The 23,468-nt window shown below is 38.0% G+C and overlaps 1 protein-coding gene across 14 annotated transcripts, besides 1 other annotated feature; it reads left to right on the top strand.

Moving 5' to 3' along the window:
• Positions 35-23,385, top strand: ZNF583 (zinc finger protein 583). Of its 14 annotated transcripts, none has more exons than XM_047438234.1 (5): positions 35-110; positions 3,047-3,144; positions 9,980-10,106; positions 10,363-10,461; positions 18,912-23,385. In XM_047438234.1, the coding sequence occupies exons 2-5, from the start codon at positions 3,136-3,138 to the stop codon at positions 20,387-20,389; spliced, it is 1,713 nt and encodes a 570-aa protein (XP_047294190.1). In that variant the 5' UTR covers positions 35-110; positions 3,047-3,135; the 3' UTR covers positions 20,390-23,385. The 14 variants fall into 14 exon arrangements, with proteins under 14 accessions (XP_047294190.1, NP_001153332.1, XP_016881839.1 ...); NM_001159860.2 differs by having other exon boundaries at positions 10,366-10,461; XM_017026350.2 differs by having other exon boundaries at positions 82-200; positions 10,366-10,461.
• Positions 377-586: a silencer, noted in NCBI's record as "silent region_11069". NCBI's record gives its function as "represses an Ori minimal core promoter by ATAC-STARR-seq in GM12878 lymphoblastoid cells {active_cell/tissue: GM12878}" and the evidence as "EXISTENCE:reporter gene assay evidence [ECO:0000049][PMID:35858748]".
• Positions 23,386-23,468: the final 83 nt, after the last annotated feature.

Here is a 23,468-nt window from a genome sequence, read left to right on the forward strand (position 1 = left end):
GCCCCACCCGGAGCGCTGGAGCGCGGACGCGGTCACTGCGCGTGCGCCTCACCGCGCTGGCACCCCGGCCTGGCAGCCTTTGGGGACCTGAACCAGCTGCGCCTGCGCAGGTGGAACGGGTGGAACGGGTGGGGGAGCGGACAGTCGAACGGCCTGAGAGGGCTCAGCTGGTCCGGGTGGGATTCTGAAGGCCAGCGGAGGTGGGCTTACTAGGGAAAGGGGCGCAGCAGTAACTACCCGCAACTGAGCGGCGGGATCTGCGGCCGCCCGGGGCCCTCGGCCAACATCCCAGCATCCTCTGCGCCGCGCCGGCCCCGGACTCCATTTCCCAGCGGCCCCTGCGGCCTGCCCTAGGGCTGCGGCGCCTTTGTGAGCGCGGCCGCCGGCCAGGATCGAGCCCTGGCCCGGGCCCTGGCCCAGCCCCGGCCTCCAAGGACCGCGCCGAAGGAGGTGCCCACTGGAGGGAGGAGGCGGTGAGGAGCGCGGGATGGAGCTGACGCCGGGAGCGGCCATGCCACCATGTGTGGGACCGTGTGTGACAGTGTGTGAGAATGTGTGAGACATTAAGGAACCGTGTGTGACAATGTGTTTGACAGTGTGGAATCGTGTGTGAGACCATGTGTGACTGTGTGAGAATTTGAGACCGTGTGTGACAGTGTGAGAATGTGAGGCCGTGTGTGAATATGTGTGTCAGTGTGAGACCATGTGGGACAAATGTGGGACTATGTGTGACAGTATGAGACTGGGTGTGAGAATGTGTGCGACAGTATGAGACCGTTGCCCCGGTGTATGCGGGAGCCTTTGACAGTATATGGGACCGTGTGGGACTGTGTGACACTGTATGTGCTTAAGACCACGTCACCATGTGTGAGACTGGGAATGTGTGACAGTGTTAAACTGTCATTATGTGTAGACCACGTGTGAACAGTGTGTAAGACCATGTCACTGTGTGTGTGACCTGTGTGTGTGGGATAATGTAAGACTGTGTGACAGTGTGTGTGACTTTGTGAACAGAGCTTGACCGTGTGTGTAGGATTAGATGAGACTGTGACAGTATGTGAGACCATGTCACCGTGTGTGAGGCTATGTGTGGTTGTGTACGGTGTGTGGCTGTTGATATGGGACCACATGAAACTGCGACAGAATTTGTGTGACAGTGTGTGAGACTGTGTCACTGTATGTGAAACTGTATGTGAACAGAGTTTTTGTTGTTGGACTAAGATTGTATGTGACAGTGTTTGAGATTGTGCATGACAGTGTGTGTGATTATGTGAGACTGAGGGAGATGGTGTGACTTAGCACTGTATGTCATCCCGACAGTGAGTGTGACAGTGTGACTGAGAATGGCCTTATATGACCCATTGTGAGAGCAGGGCGGGCTACAATGTGGGGGCATGTCCATAGGTTGCCAGGGGAGGTGCCAGAATGAGAAACTATGTGGTTTGTTGTCTGTGATTTGTGTGGGCAGGAAGCTGTGTGGGTGCTTGGAGATGCTGGTGTGCTCTGGGGTTTGGGAGACTGCTGTTGTGGTGGAGAGACAGAAAGATTGAGATAAAGGGGAAAAGATGGAGAAAGGGAGGGACGAGAGCTGAAAAGGGAGAGACAGACAGGAGCCTCAGCCTTAAGCCTGAAAAGCTGACCACGCTGGCTGCTTGTCCTCTGGCACAGTAGTTTTTCCATCCCTCTCAGTCTCTGGGGGCACGTGAGGAATTTAAAAGGAAAAAGGAATGGGAGACCTACCATGTGCTGGTTATGAAAATAAATGACAGAAAGATGAAAATTAAGCACTGTGCTCAATGCTTTATGTAGATCATTTCAGAATCCTCCCAACAATTGATAGGGAATAGTTACCATTTCACTGATAGAGAAACAGGTTTGCAGTGGTTACCTAACTTGCCAGAGGTTGTATAGGTAGCATGTGGTGGTTTGGCTGTTTGAGACCAGGTGTTCTGATCCTTAAGCCTAGTAGTTCTTACCACTGAGTTATGCCACTTCATAGGTAATGGCTTTATTCTTCAAGGCAGTGAGGTCTGCTGGACAAGAATTCACCATAGGGGGTTTGGATGACTGTTCAAGCATAGCCTGCTCCTCCCTCCCTCTCTCCTTCTTTCTGTCTGAGGAGATTGCCCAGAAAAGTCAAGAGATTAGTTTTCAGTTGTGGGTTGTCATAAGCCAGGACCAGAAGTAGGCCGTCTTGACTCTTTGATCGAGTGTCCACCACACTACATGGACCCTCTGATACTCACTCTGTGTATAGAGATGCTTTCTCTGAGAAATTTCACTTTGTAGCTTTATCTGTCATCCTTGCAGAAAGGGTGGGAACATATTTCCTTTCAACATCATGATCGGGTGGAAAGAATTAAAAGTTAGAACTGGTTTCCAGTTTGGCTTAATTATTACCATGATGCCTTGAATAATTACTCCGATGAAGAGCCTTCATGTGTGAAAGAGGGGGAAATCCTTGCTTGGTAATACCATTCTGTAATTGCTGTTTTTGTTTTAAATTATAAATGGGGAGGTAACTTAAACACAGAACAGGTATGTTGTATTCTTTTTTTTTTTTTTTTTTTTGAGACAGAGTCTCGCTCTGTGGCCCAGACTGGAGTGTGGTGGCGCGATCTTGGCTCACTGCAAGCTCCGCCTCCTGGGTTCACGCCATTCTCCTGCCTCCTCAGTAGCTGGGACTACAGGCGCCCGCCACCACACCTGGCTAATTTTGTGTATTTTTTAGTAGAGACGGGGTTTCCCCGTGTTAGCCAGGATGGTCTCGATCTCCTGACTTCGTGATTCGCCAGCCTCGGCCTCCCAAAGTGCTGGGATTACAGGCGTGAGCCACCGCGCCTGGCCCGTATGTTGTATTCTTAAGATCCAAAGCATGTGGGAAAAAGAATTGTAAATTTAGATATAAATGAATTGCTCAGTGATACCTCTAATTTACTCCTGAGGTTGGGGAAAGAAGGAGAAAGAGAAGGAAAGGTTTCTAGGCTGATGATACTGAGAGCTGCAGGGCAGGCCTGGCATTTTATGGTTTCTTTTCCTTCTCCAGCTCGACTTTCTCAGGATACTGTCCCTCTCCCACAGAGGAGCTGAAGGAGTAGGACAGAAGAACTGTCAAATTCTGGAATCCTTAAAGCCATGTCCAAGGTAAGGAAGCATTTCTTCTCTCTTCCCTAAAATGCCATCTTATTTTTTAGGTTATACGAACATTTTGTTTTTCTTCCAAAATTCTGCAACCTAATAAGGTTCCATTCATCCAGTGACTCGTTCCTCATATCTTGCTTTCCAGTAAAAGTCTCCAAAAGCCTAGTTATCTTTTTTTCCACAGCCAGCATTTTTATCTTCACTCAAGAAATAGTTCAGCACCTTCTCTGGGTTTAGTGTCTGTTAGAAGCTTTCAAGATGCAAAAATACACTCATTGGCATATGTAAACCTTCATTGTAGTAAGTTGATTGAGACTGAGGTGTATGTTCAGATGTAACCACTAGCATAAATAAAGCTTTTCCATAGACCTAGGTTTGAAAAGAAGGCAAGACAGGAGGGTTATCAGGTGGTCTTAGTCACAGAACAGGGCAAAGTCTCTTGCTCAAAGTGATCTTGAGGAGTGAGATGTGTTGAGTCTTGAATATTAAAGTGTGGGTCAGCTAGGGCAGGGATTTTTCCAGGCACTCCGTGGGCTTTGAAGAACAGTATTCCAGGGAATAATGAGGTACCATTTTAGGGACATTCTGAGTGTCCACAGCTATGTTATTCTAGGTCATCCAGTTAAGATTAGTGGAATTAATATGTAAAAAATAGCAGAACTTTGTTTTGGAAAAGACTAATGGGAGAGCACTTGAATCTGCATTAAAATAAAAGCTGTATATGTCTATAATAATGAAAACAGTTGATAGTGTGGAATGGAGCCAGAAGAAACATACAATGTTAAGAAACAAATCCAAGTATAAGAATTCCATAAGAATGGAAATCTTCATTCACTGAACATATAGTTATTAAAGGCCTTGTGCTAATTGCTGTGATAAATAAAAATAAATAAAAATAAACACCTTGTGCCAAGTGCTGTGATAAATAGGCCCTGTCTTTGTCTTCATAGAATTTAATGTATACTAGTTTATTATATGATGTACTGATATTATTTTAAATCAGTGGGAAAGGGATGGATTATTCATCTAGTAAAAAAAATTCTCTGCACTTAGAGAAAAATACATAGAGGTTAAATGCATTGTATAGGTTAAATATATATATATACACACACACACCTCTAGGTTAAAATATGGAAAATGGAGAAAGAGTAAGGTGAGGCAGATGCAGAAATCAACTAGTACAGCACTGTCCAATAGAACTTTCTGTGATGATTGACAATAGAAATGTTCTATATCTGCAGTGTTTAACATAGTAGCCACTAGCCAGATGTGGCTACAAAGACTTGTATATACTAGCATGACTGAGAAACTGAATTTTTCATGTTAATTGATTTAAATTTAGCCGTATGTAGCTAGTAGCTAGTGTATTAGACAGCACAGTCTTAGGCTTATAAAACAGTAAAGCCAGGAAGATAATTATGGGTGATCTTGTCCAAGTTTCTCATTCTACAGATGAAGAAAAAGAGGCCAGGGGAAGAAAGTGACATGTCCACGTAACCAGTTAGTGACTGAGTCAGATGTAAGAAGTTGTAATAAAAATTGAGGGTCAGTAATGTCGATGATGATGAGTGATGATATGAAAAGGGTGGTAGAAAATGATGAGGGACACTGTAGCGAGTCTGTGATGGGGCTCATTATTTCACTCCCATGCCCAGAACCTTCATTGCCTTCCTATCTTACTTGGAATGAAATCCAGTGTCCTAACCATGGCCTATAAGGCCCTTTGTGCTTCAGGTCCTGGCTTTCCTAGACCTCATTTTCTACAAGTATTTACCTCTCTTCATTTTAATCACAGTTGTGAATTTGCTGTCCCTCAGACTTACTGTGCTTTTTCTTGTCTCTGGACTTTTGCATTTGCCCCCCCATCCCCCTACATGTTGACATAGCTTGCTCCCCCATTTCATTTAGATTGTTGTTCAAACCTTACCTCTTCATTTAGACTTACCTTGACTATATTATCTACAATAAACAGCCTATCACTCTTAATCACCCTTTACCTTCTTTTGTTTTTTGTGGCATATGTCACTACCTGACATGTATGACCTTATGTTTAATGTTTTTCTCCTTTGTTAGAATATTAAGAGGAGGAACTTTGTTTTGTTCACCTTTGTATTCCTGACTCTTAGAATAGTGCCTGGTTGGTAATAGGCATTCAGATGAATTCCTTATCTGTGAGTGAGACCAGGATAGCTAGAGTTAGCCACCTCTTCTTTCCTGCTACTGATTTGGTAACAGAAGAAAGAAAAAGCTGAAAGTATGATGTGTAGAATAGGTGGAACCCATTAGCCCAAATGCTGTTTCCAGGACCCCACCCCAGACCTCCTGAATCATGGTCTCTTGGTGGCACCTAAGAAAACACATTTTTATTGGGTTTCCCAGGATGATGATTATCTTTTTTTGAGATGGGGTCTCACTATTTTGCCCAGGCTGGTTTTGAACTTCTGGCCTCCAGCTGTCTTCCTGCCTCAGCCTCCCAAGTAGCCAAGTAGCTGGGTTACAGGTATCCAGGATGATTTTAATGCATGGTTTTTGAGAACCTCTGCCTTTAAAGATTATATTTAAAGTATGCCTCTTGTAAGCAGCATATAACTGGCTAGTTTTAAAAAAGCTAGCCTGATAATCTTAATCTTTTAGTGTTTATTACATATTTAATGTAATACTTATACGTACGTGCTTAAAGCTACTGTGTTTCTGTTTGTTTTCCATTTATCCCATCTGTTCTTTTTTCCTTTGTTTCTCCTTTTTTGCTTTTTTTTGGTTAAGTCAGGTATTTTTCCTTATTATTTTAGTAATTATACATAATTTTTATTGTTCTTTTAGTGGCTTTTCTAAGATAATATTCATCCATTACTCATATGTAGTAATCCTTCTTTCTTCTGTAATCTTCCTCCTATGATTAGTACCCTTATCACTTCCTGAACAGGATAAGATGCCTATGGTGATTTAACTCCACAATATTCTTATTGCTCTATTTGTAATTACTGCTTTAGAACTCTTAATTTCTTCCTGTGTTTTCATGCTTCCATTTTCCTTCTGTATTACTAATACCTGAAGAACTCTTCGAGTATGTCTTCGAGTGCAAGCCAACACTTTACTCCCACCCTGAATTGTTTTTTCAATTCAAAAACAATTTGACCGTATCGTTGCTGGGTCAAAATAGTGTAATTAAAAATTTTTTTGAGGTTAAGTAATTTTGTGAAATCCTGGTCTCAATGGAGAGAATGACGTCTGTGAATCGATTTTAAGAAAATAATTCAAGACCTATGCAACATCATAGTAAAACATTAAGATTTATCCAGCTGGGTGTGGTGGCTCACGCCTGTAATCCCAGCACTTTGGGGGGCCGAGGTGGGTGGATCATCTGAGGTCGGGAGTTCAAGACCAGCCTGGCCAACATGGTGAAACCCCATCTCTACTAAAAATACAAAAAAATTAGCTGAGCGTGGTGGTGGGCCCCTGTAATCCCAGCTACTTGGGAAGCTGAGGCAGGAGAATTGCTTGAACATGGGAGGTGGAGGTTGCTGTGAGCCAAGATCGCACCACTGCTCTCCAGCCTGGGCGACAGAGCAAGACTCCATGTCAAAAACACAAACAGCAACAACAACAAAAATTAAGATTTACCCAACTGAAAATAAGCATGGGGGTTAGTAAATAAGATAGGGCATAATTATACTGTATAATAGTACTCAGCCAATAAAAGTGACATTATCAGTAAGTGAAATATATACATAATCATAGACATTAGTATAAGGAACCGTTTGAGCAGATTATACTAACTATAAATTATAATTGCTTTTAGGAGGTAGGGTGACATGGGAGTAGGCATGGGGGTGAAAGACTTCCAATTCTTTAACTTAAAAAGGGAAAAAATTGGCTGGGTGAGGTGGCTCACCCCTGTAATCAATCCCAGCATCCTAGCACTTTGGGAGGCCCAGGCAGGAGGATCCCTTCAGCCCAGGAGTTTGAGACCAGCCTGGGCAACATAGTGAGACATCATCTGTACCAAAAAAAAAAAAAAAATTACCTGTGCCTGGTGATGAGTGCCTGTGGTCCCAGCTGCTTGAGAGGCTGAGGTTGGGAGGATCATTCAAGCCTGACAGGTTGAGACTGCAATCAGCCATGATTGTGACACTGTACTCCAGCCTTGGCGACAGAGCAAGATCCGGTCTCCCAAAAAATAAAATTAAAACAAAGGAGTGGGGGGAAATCACTGAGGGTAGAAATACTGGAAAGTATATTTTAAGTTTCTTTAATGATGGCAATATTTTAAATTAAATCAAAGTAAATATAAAAAAATGTACAAGGTATTCATGGTCTCATTGGCTGACAGGAAAATGTCAGATAGTTAAAACACAGACTCTATTAGTTCATGTGTGCAGCTAAAAAATGTCTCAAGGACTTCATGTAGCAAAAGCTGCTTCGCTAATGTCTACAGAATAAATGATGTGTGTGGAACACTTTCCCGCACAAAATTTTAAAGAGTTTGTATTGAAGTATTTGAGTTACAGTAGAATTGATGATTAGCAGCGCCCAGGCCTATCCAGCACGAGTTTTAATTTTTAGACCTGATTCACATTCTTTTCCTTCTTTGAAGCTACAAGTCACTTCCTCAGATTTCCTTGTATTAAGAAATGTTTCAGAGATAGAAGCTTTTTAAGCAGCTGATGCGTGTAATTGATATTTCTTGGAGCCATACTTTTGCTTCCTTTATAGATAACCTCCTTAACATTTTTGTGCATTTTTCCGGCAGTAGCAATTAACATTGACTCATTTTTTTTTCCATTAAAAAGGTTTCTAAATAAAATCACTGATGTATTTGAGTATTTCTTCAATAGGAGCATTACTCTGCAAAGAGTCATATAAGAGTAGGGGTGATGTTCATATTTGACAACCAACAAGGCAAAGGCACACAGCAGAACTTATCCTAGCTGGGATCCTGGAGTTTGCTGCCATGCTGGGCATTAATCTTCAGTTGCTGAATTCCTTATGGAGAAATCTGGTGTGGTCACTAGCAGCACTCAGTGAAGTAGCTGTTTATCAATGAGTGTGGCAGTATTTCAGTATTTAAGAAATCAGTATGTTCAGGTGTGTACCATTGAATGCCATCTCTATGTCAGCCCAGCTTAAGAGCAGGCTCTGTGACATGTCAAAACCAAGATGCATATGCCTAACCATACAACAAGCCCTGATAAGTCTTGAGCTGATTTATCTTGTTAGGAAGAAGACCCATTTTTAATTTTTAGGGAGCAAACTAGGTCTTGTTCCGTGTTATCTTAAAGATCCTTAATTCAACATTCGGTAGTATTATTTGGGAGCTGTACTGTAACATTTTTAAAACTCTCTTGCTCATCAAACAGGCACAATTGTGTATGTTTCTCTAGTGAGAGCTGTAGATATTTTTTGATGCATTTTATTATCAGACTTGGAGACATTCACTAAGTAAATTAATAGTGCTTAAATTACTATTATTTTGTCTCATGTAGCATGATTATAAGTTACCAACTATCTTTACAACTTAGTGGGGTTATCAAGAGCTGTTAGGCAATCATTTGTCGCCTCTTACACACAGTCTCAGGAAAATTTTTATTTCCAATGAACATTTGTCCCATATTGAAGTAACTTTTATTGTACTTCTTTGATTCCTTCTTATCAAGTACTGATTATACAGATTCAAACATTTATTGTAATATCACTCTTCTTCTTCTCAAGACATTAGAAGTCATAGTCTTTGAGATCAACTTCATTTTATCTGTGACAAATTTTTTCTTGTTTTGATTCAGATACCTTTTTGTTTGTTTGTCTTTAGAAACGGGGTCTCACTATATTGCCCAGGCTGGACTCAAGCATCCCAGGCAATCCTTCTGCCTCAGCCTCTTGAGTACCTGGGGCTTTAGGCATGCACCACCACACCTGGCCTGATTCAGATACCTTTTGTGACACCAAGCTGCTGGTCATCTAAACCATATGCCTTCCATTCATTTAAACCATCTACAGGAGAGGAATTTGTGTAAAACAAATGTTTAAAATTCAACACACACAAGACCTAGGTTGTCATTGTGAAATGTGTAATATGAAATGTAAAAAATACGTGAGATACCTTAGGTCATCAGTGAGATGAGATGCATCACTTTGACAGCTGGTTGGCAAATGTTGTCTTTGCCACCAAGCACAAATTCAGTGGCATACTTTCACACATCAGGTGATCTGTCACTCAGCTTCTTGATTGCTCTCTGTTATGGTATACATTTAAGCCATATTTTTGCAAGTCAGTATATAACTTTGTTTACTGTTTCTATTATATATTTAATTTTGGAAAGTCAATATAAGCATCAAACATATTTATATATATTTTTATACAACCTTATTGATGTCTCTGGAACATTGACCATTCCATTGTACTGAGTTTGGAAAAATGCCAGATTCAACCATGTACACATTATAAAGCTTAGCCTGTTTCCTCCTCGAAGCTCTTTACTGCCCCGGTGTATCTGATTTTCCAATATTGAGAAATGCTCTGGCATTTAGTATGAATAACATATTTTATACTTTATTTACAGTGTTCTGTTGTTTTCCAATTTTGTGTGTGTGATAAATCCTTTCTCTACCAGTAGGATTATCTCTCAAATTGTATACTTTCCATGACAGAATATCAAAACAAAGCACAAAGAAGTCATTTAGCAATTACCTGACATGTGTTGCTCAGAACCTAAGATACTGTCAGAAAGTTTTGCTATGTGCAATATTTTTCTCTAAAAGTATAGACAATTTAACTTTTTAACTTAGGCTCATGTGAGGATATGAACACTAGTTGAGCAAGAATGTGTTTATGTCATTTCAGGATTTGGTGACATTTGGGGATGTGGCTGTAAATTTCTCTCAAGAGGAATGGGAATGGCTGAACCCTGCTCAGAGGAATTTGTACAGGAAAGTGATGTTGGAGAACTACAGGAGCTTGGTATCATTGGGTAAGGACATGTCCCCTTAATTCAGAATCTGTACATGGGACTGAGCTCCAATGTAATATTTGGGAAACCTCTGACGTGCTTCACTAAATTTCCTTTTCTTGTGCTTCCCAAAATAGGTTGAATTTGTAGAATTGGCAGCTTCATCTTCCCCATTCTTATTCCTCAGCTCCCTCCCATTATTCTCCCACCTTCTTGATGATGCAGAAACTTGATCTTATTTATAGACCTGCCTAATTCCCCTTTTGTTTTTTGTAAGCAGGAGTTTCTGTTTCTAAGCCAGATGTGATCTCATTATTGGAGCAAGGAAAAGAGCCCTGGATGGTGAAGAAGGAGGGAACAAGAGGCCCATGCCCTGGTGAGTGAGAGAGAAATAGGGAGACAGAAGCCATTGCCAGGAAAAGCTCAGCAATTCTGAAAGATTTCAGTTCATAATTGACGTTTCCTGGGTAGCTCTTCTTAAAGACTCAAAGCCTGGGAAGAAATATTGAGGCATCTTTAGTATGAGCTCCTCAATTTGTTCTCTCTGTCTATATTCTCTCACAAGTTACAGTCTTCTCTGACAGTAATCTTCTCTGATAACCCATTTTCCTATTGTTGGATCCAGATGTCACAGCATCTCCCTGTCCTTGCCTTTTAGTTTTATACAAGTTGCTTGGTTTCATTTTTTAAAAATCCAGGTGCCTGTAATCCCAGCTCTTTGGGAAACCAGAGTGGGTGGATCACTTGAGCCCAGGAGTTCGAGACCAGCCTGGGCAACATGGCAAAACTAAAAATACAAAAAAAAAAAAAAAAAAAAAATTAGCCAGGCCTGGTGGCACGCGCCTGTAATCCCATCTATGTGGGAGGCTGAGGTGGGAGGATCACCTGAGCCTGTGATCTGAGATCGCGCCCCTGCACTCCAGCCTAGGTAACAAAGCAAGAGCCTGTCTAAAAAAAAAAAAAGCCAGGTTATTTTTGTTTGTTTTGTTTTGTTTTTCCCTTTCTCAGTTACTCATTCCTTTTAGATTGAAGGATTGATGCATTTATTTATTTATTTATTCTTTTACCAAGCCTCATTGACTTTATGTTTTGAGAAGAGGATTCTGCTAAATTCTTGGGATTATTCAGAGGCTTATACACCAACAAAGAAAAAAGAAAGCCAATTTTATTTTCAATTCTGGGTAACTAGAAGATGATAACACTTAATAGAAACAATCAGAAGCAAAAGTTGATAGGAGGAAAGATGAAAAATTTGGCTGTGGACATAAGAGGGTTATATATATAAGATGAGGAGAGTTCCAAGCAAAGAAATGCAACATGCAACTGGTTTAGAAGATGGGGGCTCAGAAAAATAGAATGATTTAGAGATGTCAGTGTGAATGAATGAGATCACTGGTCTTAAGAGTTTGAGAGATAAAGCCTGATGCTGAGGCCTTTGTGGGGAAGTGAATCTTTGATAACTTTCTCAGTATCCTCCATGGTAAATGGCATCTCTATAATTTGTCTTTGGTTAATATATATATATTTTTAGATGAGGTCTTGACCTGTTGCCCAGGCTGGAGTGCAGTGGTGCACTGCAACCTCCACCTCCCAGGTTCAAGCAATTCTCCTGCCTCAGCCACCCAAGTAGCTGGGATTACAGGCATGCACCACTACGCCCAGCTAATTTTTCTGTATTTTAAGTAGAGATGGGGTTTCACCATGTTGGCCAGGCTGGTCTTGAACTTGTGACCTCAAATGATCTGCCCACCTGGGCCTCCCAAAGTGCTGGGATTACAGGCATCAGCCACTGCCCCCAGCCTGTCTTTGGTTAAATTTTATGCATTTTAATTTTTCTAGATAATTGTCCTTTTCATTTAGGTTATCAGATTTCATGAATTTGAGCAAAATAATCTACAATTAGTTTTCTTTTATATGTATAATGGTTTCCAATTTTAATTTTTTATTTTGTGTAACTATTCTTTTTTTAAAAGAATATATTGGTCGGGCGTGGTGGCTTACACCTGTAATCCCAGCACTTTGGGAGGCCGAGGTGGGTGGATCATGAAGTCAGGAGTTCAAGACCAGCCTGGCCAAGATGGTGAAACCCTGCCTCTACTAAAAATACAAAAATTAGCCAGGTGTGGTGGCAGGCTCCTGTAATCCCAGCTACTTAGGAGGCTGAGGCAGAGAATCACTTGAACTCAGGAGGTGGAGGTTGCAGTGAGCTGAGATTGCACCACTGAACTTTAGCCTGGGAGACAGAGTGAGACTCCGTCTCAAAAAAAAAAAAAAAAAAGAATACATTTATTAGGTTGCTCTACTCATAAATCAGTTTATTTTTAAAGAACTAGCTTATGGATTTATGTATTCATATTCTTTTCCAATTTTGTGTTTTTTTCTGTACTAATTCATAAAATATTTTCTCCTTACTAATTCTTTCCTTCTAATTTTCTTATTTATTTTGATTTCCATAGTGCTGAAATGAGAGCTTAATCTATTAATTTAATTCTTTTATTTAGTAATGAGATTATTAAGGACTACGAATTTTCCTCTAAGTTTATCTTTGTCTATCTCCTGTAGATTCTGATACTTAGTGTTTTTGTTACTGCTGTTCATACTAGATAATCTACCTTAAACATTTTTTTCTTTCACCCAGAGTTGTTTAAAAGAGAGTTTTCTGGTTTTATTGTATTTGATCAGACAGTGTGAAGGAATTATTTACATACAGTAAACTGGATACATATAAATTGTACAGTTTGATGACACTTGCATATACCCATGAAACTGTCACCACAATCAAGACACATTTAGTATTTCTATCACCCCAAAAGATTGCGTGTGTCTCTTTCCATCTATCCTACTCTCCACTCCCAGTTCCAAACAAACATGAATCTGATCTTTATTTTTTATTAATTTGCATCTAAAGTAAATGGAATCATTCAGTATGTATTTTGTTATGTCTGGCTTATTTCACTCAGGATAATCATCTTGAAATTTATCTGTATTGTTGCATGTATGAATGCAACATTTCATTTATCCATTCACCTGGTGATGGACATTTGGGTTGTTTCCAGTTTGGGGCTATTATAAATAAAGTTGCTATGCAGCTGTCATGTACAGGACTTTGTGTGAACATATATTTTTATTTTTGGGGGGTAAATACTTAAGATGGAAGAACTGAGTTATATGATAGGTATATGTTTAACTCTGTTAGAAACTGTCAGTTTTCTGAAGGAATTATACCATTCTTCTAGCAGTGTATGAGACTTCCAGTTAATCCACATTCTCACCAAATCTTGGTATCGTCAGTAGTATTTTTAATTTTAGTCATTCTAAAGGTTGTATTGTGGTTTTAATATGCATTTCTGGAATGACTAATAATGTTGAGCCTCTTTTCATATGTTTACTGGCCATGCATATAACTTTTATGAAAACTTTGTTCAAACATTTTTCCCATGTTTTATTGGATTGTTTATCTTATGATTTGTAAGAGTTCTGTATATAGTCTTAAAACAAGTTCTTTATCATTTATATGTATTGGCTTATATGTATGCCAATTATGGCTTGCCTTTTTGTTTTTCTGCTGCCACCTCTGTTGGAGGCAAAGTTTGCAGTTTTTGTAAAATCCAATTTATTAATTTGTCTTGGTTGGTGCTTCTTATATCTAAGAAATTCTTGCTACTCCCAGGTCACAGAGATATTTTTCTAGGAGTTTTAAGGTTTTAGCATTTATATTTAGCTCTGTGAATGATTTTGAGCTAATTTATGTGTCTTGTGTGAGGTAAAGGTTGAGGTTCATTTTTTTTTCCATATGGATATACAGTTGCCCCAAGACCCTTTGTCAGGAAAGACTTTCCCTTCCTAATTCTATCACCTATCACCTTGCTACTTTTCCTGATCATTACTTGACCACATATGTGTGGGTATGGTTCTGGAATGTCTTCTGTTCCATTGATCTATATGTCTATTGTCTCACCAGTTCCATACTGCCTTGATTACTGTAGCTTTGTAGTAAGTTTTGATACCAGATAGAGCAATTTGTAAAATTGCCTTGACTGTTTTAGATCATTTGCATTTCATATAAATTTTAGAATGAAGTTGAGAATTTCTGCTCAAAAAACTTAGATTTTTGTTGGGATTACATTGATTCTGTATGTCAATTGAAAAAAACTGACCTCTTAACATTGAGTCTTCTAATATAAGTATGGTTTATTAAGCCATTTATTAGTCTTTAAAAATGTCTTGAAGTTGGGTGTAATGGTGTGCGCTGGTAATCTCAGCTACTTGGGGGGCTGATTTGGAAGGATTGCTTGAGTCCAGAACTTGGAGACTAGCCTGGACAACATAGCAAGACTCTGTCTGAAAAAGAAAAAGGAAAAATAATAAAATTTATCTTAAGAATATTTTGCAGTATCCAGTGTAGTGGTACTCTGTTAAATTTTTTTTCCTAAGTCTGTAATAGTTTTTTGAGTGCTATAATAAATAGAATTTTTTTTAACAATTCAGTTTTCTAATAGTTTGCCACTAGTAGGCAGAAATGTAAATTGATTTTTATATTAGCTTTACATCTTATGACCTCGCTAGATTCATTTAATGGTTGCCCTCACAGTTATTTTGTAGGTCCATGAGGATTTTTTGGATGGACAATCATGCTATCTACAAATACAGTTTTTTTTTCCTTCTGATCCTTATACCTTATTTTTCTTGATATATTGCAATGGCTAGGACCTCCTATATAATGTGTAATTGAAGGGGTAAGAGGAAATGTACTTGTGCTGTTTCAATCTTAAGGGAAAACGTATTCTGTCTTTTACTATTAAGTCAGTGTAAGCTGTCAGTTTTTCTTAGATGTCCTTGATCAGTTTGAAAACGTTACTTTCTATTCCTGGTTTGCTGATAATTTTTATAATAAATGGATCAGATACTATTTCTACATCTGTTGAAATGATCATGTGATTTTTTTTCTCTTTAACCTTTTAATATGGTGAATTACATTGATTGATTTTCAAATGTGAAACCAATCTTGCATTTTTGGGATAAACTCTACTTGGTCAAGATCATGCTGTTAATATTTTCCTAGATTTCATTTGCACAGTTTTATTAAAGATTTTGCCTTATGTACATGTGCTACATTGGTCTGCAGGTTTACTTTTTTTTTTTTTTTTTTTGAGATGGAGTCTTGCTCTGTCACCAGGCTGGAGTGCAGTGGCTCAATCTCAGCTCACTGCAACCTCCACCTCCCGGGTTCAAGCGATTCTCCTGCCTCAGCCTCCCGAGTAGCTAGGACTACAGGCATGCGCCACCATGCCCAGCTAATTTTTGTATTTTTTAGTAGAGATGGGGTTTCATGATGTTGGCCAGGATGGTCTCGATTCTTGTCCTCGTGATCCACCTGCCTCGGCCTCCCAAAGTGCTGGGATTACAGGCGTGAGCCACCACGCCCAGCCTGCGGGTTTACTTTCTTATAATTTTTTTATCTGGTTTTGGTATCAAGATAATACTGGCCTTATGAAAACAAGTTGGAAAGTGTTTATCTTTCTCTATTTTCTGACAGTTTGAATAAAATGGTATTATTTCTTCTTTAAATATTTGATAGAATTCACCAATGAAGACATCTGGGCCTGAAGTATTTTTTACATAACAGCTTTAATGGATATAGGGTTAATCAGGTTATCTGATTTTTGTTGAATCAGCTTTGGTAGGCTGTGTCTTTCAAGAGATTTCTGTGTTTCATCTGAGTTTTTCAATTTATTAATGTTTTTAAAAAACAGCTGTAGGCTATGTAATGATAACTCCTCTGGTGTTGCTGATATCTGTTCTTTTTTTCTTGATAACTGATGTTTTAAAAGAACCTACTTTTGTTTTATTTCCTCTGTTGTTGTTTTTCTATATTGTTAATTTTCTTTCTTAACTTTTTCTTCTACTTTCCTTAAGTTTACTTTGGTCTTTTCCTCACTTCTTGAGGTGACATCTTAGATTATTGATTTTTAGACTTTTAGTTGTTTTCTAACATAAGCATTTGAAAACTGTAGATTTTTCCTTTAAGTACCATTTTAGCTGTATCCCACAGATTTTGATATGTTGTACTGTCATTATCAACCAAGATATTTTCTAATTTCTCTTGTATACTCTGACCCATGATTTATATAGAAATGTGTTTAGTTCTCAGATGTTTGGAGTTGACTAGGTATTATTGATTTAAAAATCAATAACCTCTAACCTCTGTTGAGGTTAGAGAGCATACTCATCTTGGTTTCGGTACTTTGGGATTTATGGAGACTTGGTTTATGCCCCAGAATATAGTCTATCTTATTTACTGAACACATTGTGTGCACTCGAATACATGTTGTACAAGTGTTTGGTGTAGTGTTGTATAAATATAAATTAGATCAAAGTAGTTAACCCTGTTGAGATCCTCTTTGTTACTATTTTTTCCTAGTTTTGTCAGTTTCTGAGCAAAGCATGTGTTAGTTGCCTATTATGACTATAGGATTACCTATTTCTTACACTTTCAATTTTTGTTTTATGTATTTTGAGGCGTTATATTAGGTGCACAGACATTAAAGATTATTTCTTTCTGATGAATTGATCCTTTTATTACTATACGTCTCTATCTTTGGTAATACTCAGTTTTAAAGTCTATTTTATCTGACGTGAATATAGTTAATCTAGCCTTATGCTTACTGTTTGCATGTTACATCTTTCTTTATCTGTATTATTAATGTATTCTTATATGTAATGTGAGGTTTCTATAAACAGCATATAATTGTGTCTTTCATTTTGTTGATTCCTATAAGTTCTGCCTTTTAACTGAATAAGGAGTTCATTAATATTTAATTATTTATATAATTTGAGTTGAGTCTACTATTGTTTTCTCTTTAATATTTCTCATTAAAAAATATTTGCTCATCTCTATCTTCTTTTGGGATGTTTGAATATTTTTTATAATTCCATTTTATTTTATCTGCTGGCTTGTTGTACCTTTTTATATTATGCTTCCAGTGGGTGCTATAGTGCAATGATGCTCAAAATGTCGTCTTGAGACCAGCAGCACCACCTGTGAATTTATTAGAAACGAAGATTCTCAGCCCTCAACCTCCACTAACTCAATCAAAAACTCTGTGTGTGGGGTATAGCAATCTGTAGTTTAGCAAGTTTTATCTAATTCTGATACACTCTAAAATGTAAGAATCATGCCTGTAACGATTATAATATCTATCCTTAACTTTTCAGTCTAATGAGAATTAGTGTTTTTACTTCCTTATTATAGTTTTATCAACTTAATTCTGGGTTTAATTAGATCATTGCTCCTTGGCAGTCATTTCATATTTCTTTTTTGACCCATCAGTCTTCAGAATTTAATTTTCATGTTGACTTTTTATAGGGCATTCATGGGTGTGATTTGCAACTGTTTAGAGAGGAAAGTGGAATTTGGAAGGGCACTGAGGCAGCACAGCGGAATTAGCAGCCTCAATTTAAGTATGTTGCCTTCAGATTCTTTTCCTTCCAAATATCATTATCCACTGTAATATTTAAGTTTAGTGGTAATATTCCATTTGGTTTCAGACATTTACCCCATTCATGCAAGCATGTCATTCTAATAAGAGGATGAATTAGTGTGGTGTTTTATGTCTTATTGATTCAGTATTTATTCCAAAGATACTAAGCACCTTCTATCTGTCCAGGCTATTTTAGGCAATGGGTGTTCAAGGGTGAGAAAAAAACTTCCTGCACATGAATGTTTACATTCTAATAAGAATAGAGAGTAAGTTAACATGTAATATGATATTAAATAAGTTAAGTGCTATGAAGTGCAAAGCAGGAGGAAAGAGAAACATAAGAGTGTGGAATACTTCATATTGGATGTTCGGCAAAGGCCATACTGAAGAGGTAATATGTGAACAGAACCTCAAGTGAAGAAGTGCAATGAGAGAAGGGATCAAGCAGATATCTGTGGAAAGTGCTTTTCAGGCAGAGAAACAGCAAGTCTGGTGCTCCTAAAGTGGAAATAAAGTGAATTCCCATATGACTGAAGTGGAGTAAGCAAGCAAGGGAGTAGTAGAAGATAAGATCAGAGAACACCAGGTCATGTAGAGTTTCATAAACCAAGGTAGGAATTTTCACTTTATTCTAAATGTAGTAAGAAACAGGAAAATCTTAAGCAGAAAAATGAAGTGATCTGATTTGGAACTGGACAGGGGAAGGCAGACTAAGTTCTGTGCTAGGTTAGTAAGACCAAGCAGTTTGATACAAAACTACTCTTATATGAAGGCATCTTAGCTGCAGGGATCAATTGAAAGTTTACATATGGTTGGAGTTTGTTACATAGAAAATGATTTTCTGGAAGACTTTTTTCTAACTACAGATGTTTACCCATAGAGTTTTATGAACAATATGAACAACCATAAAGTTTTACATGTATCCTAATAAGGATATTAATACTGCCTACTGTTGTTTTTAGGCCTGGGATTCCAATGGAGTTTTTAATCATATTAACATCATAAAACTGGCTTATAAAAGATAACTTAGCTTGAATGCAGGATAACCTATGACAAGAGAGGAAAGGTGTTTGAAGTCTGTTATTAACTTAGATATAAAAAGATGATTATGATTTTTAGAATACCACCTTCATTGTTTTGTTCTTATATTTACCTTACTGGTTGTCAATGATTATTTCCTTAATCAACTCTCTTAAATTCTTATTATTTATAATGTCATTATTTTAGAATGCATTATAAGCTTTTAAATCCTTTAACTTGTGATGTATTTTATTCACGTTTTTGTTTTAGAAATTTCTTCTAGTGAATTAAATACAAAAGTCATTTGTTTCTTGATATCTTTTAGATTGGGAGTATGTATTTAAAAACAGTGAATTTTCATCAAAGCAAGAGACATATGAAGAATCATCCAAAGTTGTGACAGTGGGAGCAAGACATCTTAGTTATAGCCTTGACTATCCCAGTTTGAGAGAAGACTGTCAAAGTGAGGACTGGTATAAGAACCAGCTGGGAAGTCAAGAGGTACATCTTAGTCAATTAATCATCACTCATAAAGAAATCCTTCCAGAAGTTCAAAATAAAGAATATAACAAATCTTGGCAAACATTCCACCAGGATACAATCTTTGATATACAACAGAGTTTTCCCACCAAAGAAAAAGCACATAAGCATGAACCACAAAAGAAAAGTTACCGAAAAAAATCTGTTGAAATGAAACATAGGAAAGTCTATGTAGAAAAGAAACTTTTGAAATGTAATGATTGTGAGAAAGTCTTCAACCAGAGCTCATCCCTTACTCTTCATCAGAGAATTCATACTGGAGAGAAACCCTATGCATGTGTTGAATGTGGGAAAACGTTCAGCCAGAGTGCAAACTTGGCGCAACATAAGAGAATACATACTGGAGAGAAACCCTATGAATGTAAAGAATGTAGGAAAGCCTTCAGCCAGAATGCACACCTGGCCCAACATCAGAGAGTTCATACTGGAGAGAAACCTTATCAGTGTAAAGAATGTAAAAAAGCCTTCAGCCAGATTGCACACCTGACTCAGCATCAGAGAGTTCATACTGGAGAGAGACCTTTCGAATGTATTGAATGTGGAAAGGCCTTTAGTAATGGTTCATTTCTTGCTCAGCATCAGAGAATTCATACAGGAGAGAAACCTTATGTGTGTAATGTGTGTGGGAAAGCCTTTAGCCATCGTGGATACCTAATTGTACATCAGAGAATTCATACTGGAGAGAGACCCTACGAATGTAAGGAATGTAGGAAAGCCTTCAGCCAGTATGCACACCTTGCTCAACATCAGAGAGTTCATACTGGAGAAAAACCTTATGAATGTAAAGTATGTAGGAAAGCCTTCAGCCAAATTGCATACCTTGATCAACATCAGAGGGTTCATACTGGAGAGAAACCCTATGAATGTATTGAATGTGGGAAGGCCTTTAGCAATAGTTCATCACTTGCACAACATCAGAGAAGTCATACTGGAGAAAAACCCTATATGTGTAAGGAATGTAGGAAAACATTTAGCCAGAATGCAGGCCTTGCTCAACATCAGAGAATTCATACTGGAGAGAAACCTTATGAATGTAATGTTTGTGGGAAAGCATTTAGCTATAGTGGATCTCTTACTCTACATCAGAGAATTCATACTGGAGAAAGACCCTATGAATGTAAAGATTGCAGGAAATCTTTCAGGCAGCGTGCACATCTTGCTCATCATGAGAGAATTCATACTATGGAGTCATTCTTGACTCTTTCCTCTCCCTCACCCTCCACATCAAATCAGTTGCCAAGACCTGTAGGTTTCATCTCCTGAATATTTCTGGAATCCACCTCTTGAATCCATTTCCATCCCATCATCCTTGTCCAATGCACATTAATATATTTGACATGGGATACTCGAGTAGCTTTCTAATTGGTCTCCTTGTACTCACCATTGTCTCTGTCAGATGTCCACATTGCAACCAAATTTGTATTTTTAAAAATATGTTTAATCTCATTTCTCCCTCATTAAAATCCCTCAGTGGCATCCCATGGTTTTTAAGTTAAAGCACACATTCTTCAAAATAGCCTAAAAACCTAGCCTCTAACACCTTGTTCCAGGTTACCTTCCAAAGTTTCTATCTTGTGTCACTATCCATCTCATTCTCTGAATACTTATCCAGGATTAAGATACATATTCCAGGATCAAAAAGACCTGGGTTCCAATCTTTGCACTTCCATTTCCTGCCCTCTAATTTGGGGGCAGCAGTTTGTGCTTTGTAAGCTTCAGTCTTATTTATAGTGTGGGAATAATAATGGTTCTACCTCAGAAGTTAATAGAAGAATGAAATAATGCATGTAAATTGCTCAGCAGCGTGCCTAGCATAAAGTAATTACTCAAACCATAATGTAAAGTAAAAAGATAACCATACTATACATAGAAAGCCAATCATCTCAGCCATGATTATCTCAGAAATAAAAAGAGATGCAGCAGCTCAGGACTGAGAGATTGTGAAGTTTTTTTTTTTTTAGGAATGGTAGGCATTTTTCTAAAAGTAGGTGAGGAGGGTATCTAACAGTAGGATTTACATTAGAGTCCATGATATAGGGTAAGATGGTGGCTTGTATCAGCATTCACTGGATATTTAACAGTTCTAAGATGCTAATGTCTTATTTTAAAAGTCTTTTTTTTTGAGATGGAGTCTTGCTCTGTTGCTCAGGCTTGAGTGCAGTAGTGCAATCTTGGCTCACTGCAACCTCCGCCTCCTGTGTTCAAGTGATTCTCCTGCCTCAGCCTCCTGAGTAGCTGGGATTACAGGCCTGCACCACCACGCCCAGCTAATTTTTGTATTTTTAGTAGAGAGAGGGTTTTGACATGTCGGCCAGGCTTTTCTCTAACTCCTGACGTCCGGTGATCCGCCTGCCTTGGCCTCCCAAAGTGCTGGGATTACATGCGTGAGCTACCGTGCCTGGCCTAAAAAGTCATTTTTAATAAGACAGTTTACTGAGATGTATTCATCATTTACATGTAAACAAAGGCAAAATCGAAATTAAAAAGAAATCTTGAAACAAGTCAGTAACCAATGATGAGTAGAAAATAAAGTATAAGTTTGAACCCCTGTTCTAAATCTGGGTGAATGAATTATATCAAATCTATGTCATTTAAAATAATAAAGGTTGTTAAATTACTAAAATTTCAAAACTAGTGAAGAAAAGAAACCAAAACTGTAGGTCAGTTCTCATAAACTGGCCCACAAACATGTTTGATTCTGTATGCATTAAGTTTAAAATACATATGAATACCTTCAGCAGACCATGTGTTTTCCCTTTCTCCAACATTCAAACCACTCCCTGATTCTTTACATCTGACCTCTTTTAATATTACTTCCTGACCCCAGAATTCTTTTGGCATATAATCAATGCAGTGATCAATTCACATGTGACTATAGATACAAACAGAATGACGAAAGTTTAATGGAGGATGAAAAAGAAGACAAATAAATATTTTATCCTTTATATGGTAAGACAGATTCACTATCATACTGATGTCAGTAGCCCATGAATTAATTTACAGATTCTACCTAACAAAATTCTAATAAATTTTGTAAGGTTTTAACATGTATGTGTGAACATACATATTCATGCTGTTACACATATAAAGAAAATTATAACAAAAGTGACCTATACCATCAGTGGTTTAACAGTTTTGGAAAAATTTATCGTGCTCTATACAACAATTCATTCCATATGTGAAAGTTACTTTCAAGTGCTTTATCTAAATGTGGAACAAACAGTGATTAGAGGAGTCTGTGACACACTCTAATCATGGAATGAGACTGGCCTTCCTAAACATGAGATTCAGAAGCCTCCCCACCTCCTGTCAACAAGTCATAGATTTGACTGTATAAGAACTTTATAAAGCTTTTATATGATCAAAGATAGTAAAAGATACAATATTTTTTAAACCTAAGAATGGGAGAAAATTATTGCAGCACATATAAACTATGGAATTCATATCCTTAACATAAAATTGCTCATAAAAATCCCTTAGGAAATGACGCTTTTCTCCAGCTCATAGTCAAAGGATATGAAGAGGCAACAGGTGACCAATAAATATGTGGTAAGTACTAAATCTCCCTAGGATCAGAAGAAATACAGTTTAGGCCAATGAAATACTATTTTTTTCAATATCAGATTAATAAAACTGCATTGAAAGCATACAAAAAGAGATACTATGCACTAATTTAAAAGAGCATGAGTTTGTACAAACTCTGGTAGGCAATTTGTCAACTTCAGAATTTTAATTGGGAAAAGTAGAATTTTATTTTGAAGTTCAAAAACTCGGCACACAATGTCTTTCCCTCCAGATTCTATTATACACATAGAACAATGTAAATGATTCTTAAAAAAAAAAAAAAGGTGAGGCTTTTGAGTGGATGAAATAATTTTGTAAAAGGCAAAACAGGGAAGAGTGTTCATGAATTGTAGCAGAAGATGCTGCATGTTATATGCGAATGACCGAAGGGTTTTAAAAATGGAATCTAGTCTGCCCAAAGGATCCCTAGAGAAGTTCAGGCTTGGAGTTGGCTTATGTACAGGCTGTGGCTTCTAAGAAGACATGATGAAAAGCCTCTTGAAGCCTTTGTATGTGAAAGTTATGTCAGTAGCCCTTGCCAAAAGCCTCCTCACTCTCCCCTCTCTTGTATAAGTAAATTGAATGGGATCCTTATTTCACACCATTAACAAGTATAAGTTCTAACTGAATAAAAATCTAAATGTAAATTACTAAAGCAAAAGTATTAGAAAAAATATAGTGGGATATGTTAACGACTTTGGTGTCAGACACGTGTTTCTAAAATATTCAAATACCATAAAGGAAAAGATTGATAAAATTGACTGTGTCAAAAAATAGT

The sequence above is a fragment of the Homo sapiens genome, chromosome 19 (genome assembly GCF_000001405.40).
Source record: "Homo sapiens chromosome 19, GRCh38.p14 Primary Assembly".
NCBI classification, from domain to species: Eukaryota; Metazoa; Chordata; class Mammalia; order Primates; family Hominidae; genus Homo; species Homo sapiens.